Source organism: Homo sapiens, chromosome 3 (genome assembly GCF_000001405.40).
Source record: "Homo sapiens chromosome 3, GRCh38.p14 Primary Assembly".
Classification (NCBI taxonomy): domain Eukaryota; kingdom Metazoa; phylum Chordata; class Mammalia; order Primates; family Hominidae; genus Homo; species Homo sapiens.
Genome location: NC_000003.12, coordinates 106309785 through 106318404, shown reverse-complemented (window position 1 = coordinate 106318404; position 8620 = coordinate 106309785). Strand labels below are relative to the sequence as shown.

The 8620-nt window shown below is 38.7% G+C and overlaps 1 annotated feature.

The window, feature by feature from the left end:
- Window positions 613-1812: an enhancer, noted in NCBI's record as "BRD4-independent group 4 enhancer chr3:106035440-106036639 (GRCh37/hg19 assembly coordinates)". NCBI's record gives its function as "activates an origin of replication core promoter dependent on BRD2, P300/CBP, MED14 and CDK7 cofactors, and independent of BRD4, by STARR-seq in HCT116 cells {active_cell/tissue: HCT116}" and the evidence as "EXISTENCE:reporter gene assay evidence [ECO:0000049][PMID:35650434]".

Sequence of the window (8620 nt, the reverse complement as noted above, 5' to 3'; positions counted from 1 at the left end):
ATCATTTAACACAATCCCAGACTTCTTGGGGACTTTGTTCATATTTTCTTATTCTTTTTCTTTGTCTTTGTTGGATTGGGTTAATTCAAAAACGTTGTCTTCAAGCTCTGAATTTCTTTCTTCTACTTGTTCAATTCTATCACTGAGACTTTGCAGAGCATTTCACATTTCTAAAAGTGTGTCCAAAGTTTCCTGAATTTTTGACTGTTTTTTCTTTAAGCTATCTATTTCCTTGAATATTTCTCCCTTCACTTCTTGGATCATTTTTTGGATTTCCTTGCATTGGGCTTTGCCTTTCTCTGGTCCCTCCCTGTTTAGCTTAATAACTAACCTCCTGAATTCTTTTTCAGGTAAATCAGGGATTTCTTCTTGGTTTGGATCCATTGCTGGTAAACTAGTTTGGGGTGAAGTTGAAGAGCCTTGTTTTGTCATATTACCAGGGTTGGTTTTCTGGTCCCTTCTCATTTGGGTAGGCTCTGTCAGACAGAAGGTCTACAGCTGAAGGCTGTTGTTCAGATTCTCTTGTCTCATGGGGTGTTTGCTTGATGTAGTACCCCTCCCCTTTTCCTATGGATGTGGTTTCCTGTAAGTCAAACTGCAGTGATTGTTGTCTCTCTTCTGGGTCTAGCCACCCAGTGAGTCTACCTGGCTCCAGGCTGGAACTGGGGGTTGTCTGCACAGAGTCCTGTGATGTGAACTGCGTATGGGTCTCTCAGCCAGGGATACCAGTGCCTGTTCCAGTGAAGGTGGCAGGGGGGTGCAATGGACTTTGTGAAGGTTCTCAGCTTTGGTGTTTTAATGCTCTATTTTTGTGCTGGTTGACCTCCTCCTAGGAGGCAATTTCCAGAAAGCATCAGCTACAGTAGTATAGAGAGGCACTAGCAGCAGGCATGGCCCTAGAACTCCCAAGATTATATGTCCTTTGTCTTCCACTACCAGGGTGGATAGGGAAGGACCACCAAGTGGAGGTGGGACTAGACGTGTTTGAGCTCAGACTCTCCTTGGGCAGGTCTTGCTACAGCTGCTGCGGGGAATGGGGGTGAAATTCTCAGTCACTGGAGCTGTGTACCTAATAGGATTATGGCTGTGTCTGCTGATTCATGCAGGTTGTCTTGGAAGTGGGGGAAAGGTAGCTGTCACAGACCTCACTCAGCTGTCACCCAAAACGAAGGGCTGTTCTCACTCCAACCGTGCTCTCCCCAACAGCTCTGAATCTGTTTCCAGATGGAGGGCGTGATGAGACTGAAAATTTGCCCTGGGTTACCCACCTCCCAGCTTAGAGAGAAAAGGGCTTGGTCCTTCCGCTGCCTGTGGATTCTGCACACCAGATTTTACGCCTTCCCCTGAGTTCTGGCTAGGAGGCTTCTTGCCCTGTTCAAATTGTTACAAAATTCAGCTAGACATTTCCTTCTCCTTGTGGAGTTATACCCTCTGACTCTCTGATCACCCACCTGATGGATTCCTGTGGTGCCAGGCAGGAATGGCCTGCTAGGGGCTGCAGTGAGCTCCCAGAGCCTTTCTGCTGCTTCCTCTACCCCTGTATTTCACTTGGCTCACTAAATTGGCTCAACTCCAGGTAAGGTCAGAAACTTCCCCCACAAACAGACCTTCAGCTTCTCCAGTGGAGGTGTGTGTGCAGGAGAGGGGAGTCTCCCTTTTCTACTTCTGCAGTTGGGGCACTCACAGTATTTAGGGTGTCTCCCAGTCCTGCAGGAGCAGTTTGCTTCCTTCAGAGGGTCTGTAGGTCCTCCTGGAATTGCTGGTTTGTTCTTGCAGTCAATCTGGAGCTAAAAATCACAATGCGAGCTTCCGCAAGCTGCTCTGTCGGGTGCTGCAATCTAGTCATGGCTCCTGTTGGCCATCTGATTCTCTTCCTCATGCACATGAGAAAGAGATTTTAACTGATAAGAAAATTATGTCAAGGAAAATTGAGAGCTCAAATTGTCATTATTTGAACTCTCTTAAAAAAAGCCCTGCAACTATAGAGTTAACATGTAAAGCTTTCTAAGTTTTCTGTTTAGCTATCTCTGTTTTTATACCTATTTTGAACCAGCTGACTCTTCTGCAGGTGTTGAGAAAACTCACTGCTTATGGCGTTCCAGCCAAGATTTTCTTTTAAATTCTTAAAGGGCTTTGAAATTAATTGCTTTGCAGTTTACAACAGCTCCATGGCAACCAACAACCTAAATACTTTTTGGAAATGTAAATTTAGGTTTGCCTGACTAATAAATGCTTAGGGTGATGGAACAGTTAATTAAAGGTTTAATAGTCTATAAGAAAAAGACCTAGGTAAAGTTTTATAAAAGCTAGGTTCTCAGATCAAAATCTTGAACTCAATGCTGTAATATAAGATATCTCTGATGGGCATAAAAATTGCTTTGTCTTCTATGCAAGGGCCAGAAAAAGCAAGAAACAAAACAAAACAGCAAAAACACAAACGGCTAATTTTTTTTCATCCACATTGACTAGTCAAATAAACCAGAGCAGCAAACAAAAGGTAGGTTCATTACTAATTCAAGGCCATTTGAAGAATTCATTTTTATTATACAATTCATTCACTTCTAGCTAAAATGGAAACATTAAAAATTTAACCATAAACTCATTTGAAACTAGAAAAAGGAAAAAATATGCTAAAAAAAATTAAACCAAACTACTTTATCCAAAATGTTGGTCAACAGTCTTCATTAGATCACCTATGAGGCAAGTAAGATTTAGCCCTGTTAACAGGTCCCATTTTGTCAGAAGTACAATTTGAATCCAGCTGTCTTTTGTAAACCAGTGAGTCTGCATTACTCTCTCAAGACTAAACATATATTAACTTATATGTTGTGTCTACATGATAAAATCTGACATAGTCAGCCAGAGGTCTCTTAAGGAATTTTATTCAGACTGGCTTAAATGAACAGGAATATAAAATATATGGTAATTAACCTAAATGCCTTTTAGTTTAAGTGATCTAAGTAATAATAAAGATCTGAATCACCAATAAATAAAATTGAAATTAAAAAAATACAAAAGATCAACAAAACAAAAAGTTGATTTTTCAATTAGTTAAACAAAATTGACAAACCTTTAGCCAGACTAACTAGGAAAAAAAGGGAGAAGACCCAAATAAAATCAGAGATAAAGAAGGAGACATTACAACTAAACCACAGAAGTTCAAAGATCATTAGAGAATACAGTGAGTAACTATATGCCAATAAACTGGAAAAATAGAAGAAATGGATAAATTCCCAGACACATACAGCCTACCAAGTTGGATCCATGAAGAAATTCAAAACCAGAATAGACAAATAACAAATAATATGATCAAAGCCATAATAAAAATATACCAGCAAAGAAAAATACAGAACCCAATGACTTCGCTGCTGAATTTCACTAATTTATAAAGAAAACTAGTACAATCCTACTCAAACTGTTCCAAAAAATAAAGGAAGAAGAAATACTTCCAAACCCATTCTACAAGGTCAGTATAATTACCCTGAGACATTAGCTGGGGTGGCTAATAGAATGCTTGCAACACCCCTCCCACAAACACAGGTAGCACAGCTAGCAGTTCCAAAAGAGACCCCTTCCTTTCCTATGAGGAGAGGAGAGGGAAGAGTAAAGAGGACTTTGTCTTGCATCTTGGATACCAGTTCAGTCACAATAGGATAGGGCACTGAGCAGAGAGATGAGCCCCCCATTCCATGACCTAGGTCTGAATGACATTTCTAGACACACTTTGGGTCAGAAAGAAACCTGCTGCCTTTAAGGGAAAGACCCAGTCATGGCAGGATTCATTACCTGCTGACAAAAGTGCCTTTGAGCCTTGAAGAAAGAGCAAGAATAGCCAGGTGTATGGCATGGGACTTGGGTGAGACTCTGAGATGTACTGGCTTCAAGTGAGACCCAGCACATTCCCAGCTATGGGAGCTAGAATGATAAAGTCCTCATTCAGCTAGAGAGGAAAAAGCAAAGACTTTGTCTTGCACTTTAGATACTAGCTCAGATGCAGGAGGTCAGGGAGCAGGAGAAGGGTGAAGGTAAAGCACCAGGCAAAATCTTGGGTTTATGGATTCCTTGGTTCTTGGACAGCATTTCTTGACCTGCCCTGGGCCAGAGGAGAGTCTGCTATCCTGCCCACTTTCATTGCTGTTATTCAATATAGTACTGTAAGTTCTAGCTGGAGCAATCAGGCAATAGAAGAAAATAAAGGGCATTCAAATTGGAAAGAAAGAAGTCAAAATATCCTTGTTTGGACATAATATAATCTTATATTTGGAAAAGCTTAAAGATTCCACCAAAAACTATTAGAACTGATACAAAAAATCAAGAATGTTGCAGGATATAAAATCAACAAACAAAATTCAGTAGCATTTTTATATGCCAATAATGAACAATATGAAGAAGAAATCAAGAAAAATGCCATTGACATTAACCACAAATAAAATACCTAGGAATAAACTTAACCAAAGAAGTGAAAGAGCAATGAAAATGATAAAATATTGATGCAATAAATTGAAGAGGATACAAAAAAATTGAAATATATTCCACGTTCATCGATAAGAAGAATCAGTATTGTTAAAGTATCCATACTACCCAAAGCAATCTACATATTCAATGCAATCCCTATCAAAGTACCCATAACATCCTTCATAAAAATTTTAAAAAATTCAACAATTTATGTGGAACCGCAGAAGGCCAAGAATAGCCAAAGTAATCCTAAGCAAAAAGAACGAAACTGGAGGAATCACATTACCTGACTTCAAAGTATACTACAGAGCTATAGTAACCAAAGAAAATGGTACTGGCATAAAAACAGAAACATAGAACAACGGATCAAAATAGAGAACCCAGAAATAAAATTATACATCTACAGTGAACTCATTTTTGACATAGGTGCCAAGAACATACATCAGGGAGAGAACAGTCTCTTCAATAAATAGTGTTGGAAAAACTGGATATTCATATGCAGAAGAAAGAAAGAACTCTATCTCTCACCGTATGCAAAAATCAAATCAAAATGGCTTAAAGACTTAAATTTAAGGTCTTAAATTACAAAACTACTAAAATAAAACATTGGGGAAGCTCTGCAGAATGTTGGACTGGGCAAAGATTTTTTCAGTAATACCTTCGAAGCACAGGCAACCAAAGTAAAAATAAACTAATGGAAACACATTAAGTTAAAAAGCTTGTGCACAGCAAAGAAAATATTCAATAAACTGAAGAGACAACCTACGTAATGGGAGAGAATATTTCCAAACTATCCATCTGACAAGGGATTAATAACCAGAATATAAAAGGAACTCAAAAAACTCTATAGGGAAACTATTATGATCCAATTAAAAAAATGAATAGACATTTCTCAAAAGAAGACATACAGGTGGTAAATAGGCATATTAAAAATGCTCAACATCATTGATCATCAGAGAAATGCAAATCAAAACTACAATGAGCTATCATCTTACCACAGTTAAAATGGCTTTTATCCAAAAGACAGGTAATTACAAATGTTGGTGAGAATGTGGACAAAGGGGAACTCTCGTTCACTGCTGGTGGGAATGTAAATTAATACAGACACTATAGAGAATAGCATGGAGATTTTTCAGAAACCTAAAAATAGAACTACCACATGATTCAAGAATCCCACTGCTAGATGTATACCCAAAAGAAAAGAAATCAGTGTAGCAAAGAGATATCTGTGTTCCCATGTTTATTGCAGCATGATTCAAACTTGCCCAGATTTAGAAGCAACCTAAGTGTCTATCAACAAACAAATGGATTAAAAAAATGTGGTGGCCGGGCGCGGTGGCTCACGCCTGTAATCCCAGCACTTTGGGAGGCCAAGGCGGGTGGATCACAAGGTCGGGAGATCGAGACCATCCTGGCTAACACAGTGAAACCCCACCTCTACTAAAAATACAAAAAATTAGCCAGGTGTGGTGGCGGGCGCCTGTGGTCCCAGCTGCTCCGGAGGCTGAGGCAGGAGAATAGCGGGAACCCGGGAGGCGGAGCTTGCAGTGAGCCGAGATCCCGCCACTGCACTACAGCCTGGGCGAGAGTGTGAGACTCTATCTCAAAAAAAAAAAAAAAAAAGTGGTACATATACACAATAGAATACTGTCTGATCATAAAAAGGAATAAGATACTGTCATTTTCAATAACATGGATGGAACTGGAGGACATTATGTTTAGCGAAATAAGCCACACAGAAAGAAAAACTTCACATATTCTCACCTGTTTTGGGGAGCTAAATATTAAAATAATTGAACTCATGGAGATAGATGGTAGAATGATGGTTATCAAAGGCTAGGAAGGGTAGATGGGGGTGAAAGTGCAGCTGTTTAATGAGTATAAAAATATAATTAGAATGAATAAGCTCTAGTATTTGATAGCATAACAGATTGATTACAGTCAGAAATAATTTATTGTACATTTAAAAATAACTACAGAGTATAATTCAATTTCAATTGTTTGTAACACAAGGAAATGGTAAGTGCTTGAGGTGATGGACACCATGTTTTTCCTGATGCGATTATTATCATTGTTTGCCTGTATCAAAAGATCTCATGTAGCCCATAAATGTATATACCTACCATGCAGCCATAACAATTTAAAATAAAAAATATAATTAATTAATTAGTTAAGTCTTTATGACCTATAAATAACTTCAGGTTTTTTTCATTTAGACCCATTAGGAACCTCAAAAGTTGTATGTCTTACTTTGTAGATATATTAAATAATTAGGTTTATTTGGTAAATTGTATAGAAATCATTGTCAAATGATAAGTGATGTTAGATCTTTCAATTACATTTATGCATATGTTATTAATGTGAATGTTCCAAAATTATTTAGAAGTCTTAGAAATCTGTCATCACTCGTAGTTCTGGATATTATGTTGTATACCACAAAAATAACTAAATTCCCTTGTAAATTTCTTATTATAATGAACCTCCATCAGATTTTTAACTATGACTTAGTTCTAAGTCTCTGTCATCCACAGTTACTGTTTAGAATTCTTCTATGAAAGTATCTGCAATCGGATTCATGGAAAGGCTGTAACTAAAATACTCTTAAGAACAGGTTTCTAATTACTTTAAATGGGCTAAATCAAAAATTTCCAAAATTTTAATCAACAAACGGATGGGTTCATGAAAATCCTAATCAAGATCAAGCAAAAATAAAATTATTTACCTTAGGCCGGGCGCGGTCGCTCATGCCTGTAATCCCAGCACTTTGGGAGGCCAAGGCAGGTGGATCACAAGGTCAGCAGTTCGAGACCAGCCTGGCCAACATGGTGCAACCGCGCCTCTACTAAAAATACAAAAATTAGCCAGGTGTGGTGGCTGGCACCTGTAATCCCAGCTACTCGGGAGGCTGAGGCAGGAGAATTGTTTGAACCCGGGAGGCAGAATTTGCAGTGAGCTGAGACCATGCCATTGCACTCCAGCCTGGGTGACAGAGCAAGACTCTGTCTCAAAAAGAAAAAAAAAATTATTTACATTACATTAAATAACTGATGACCCAGTGCTTTGGGAGGTTAAGTAGGAGGATAACTTGAGGCCAGGAGTTTTATACCAACATGGGCAACATAGCAAGACCCCATCTCTACAAAAAACAAAAAAATTTAGTGAGGTGTGGTGTATACCTCTGGTCCTACCTGCTCAAGAGGCTGAGGTGGGAGGAACCCTGGAGCCCAGGAGTTCAAAGCTGCTGCAGTAAGCTATGACTGTGCTACTGCACTCCAGACTAGGCAACAAAGTGAGACCCTGTCTCAAAAATAGCTGATGATAATGTTTTTATGTCTTTTATTTGAAAGAGTGTTGGTTCCTTTCTTAATTTTTTTTTGTTTTCCAGGTTTAAGGAAACTTTTTCTCTTAAGCTATCTATAGTTTACAGCAATTTAATAAAGTATGTTTTTGTGAACAAAGTTGAGGACAGTTGCACTTTCTATCTACTTCTTTCAAAATTCACAAATAATTCATGAATATTATTGTGGCATTATGGTTATTTACATAAGTTCAAATAAAAAAATGCTCTCTCTTTACAACAAGACACAATTTAAACCATTAGTTATATTACCAAGGCTCTTACTGAAATATCATATTTGAGAATATGCATAGAATACTTGGTTTTAACAATTCCCAGATTTACAGTGAATGAGTAAAAATTGTCACTTCCTGGCAGGCCCAGGAACCTTAAGAATGTAGGTAAAATCTAAAGTCGGCCTTGATCCGGCTTCATAGCCTTAAGAGGTGATATGGTTTGGCTCTGTGTCCCCACTCAGATCTCATCTCAAATTGTAATCCCCATGTGTAGAGGGAGGGACCTGGTGGAAGGTGACTGGATCGTGGGGGTGCTTTCCCCATGCTGTTCTCATAATAGTGAGTTCTCATGAGATCTGATGGTTTGAAAGTTTCACAGTTCCCACCTTCTCGCTCTCTCTCCTGCCTCCTGCCACCATGTGAAATGTGCCTTGCTTCCCCTTTGCCTTCTGCCATGATTGTAATTTTCCTGAGGCCTCCCCAGCCATGCAGAACTGTGAGTCAATTTAACCTCCTTTCTTTATAAAATCATCCAGTCTCAAGTATTCTTTATAGCAGTGTAAAAATGGACTGATGCAATAGTATTTTTTAA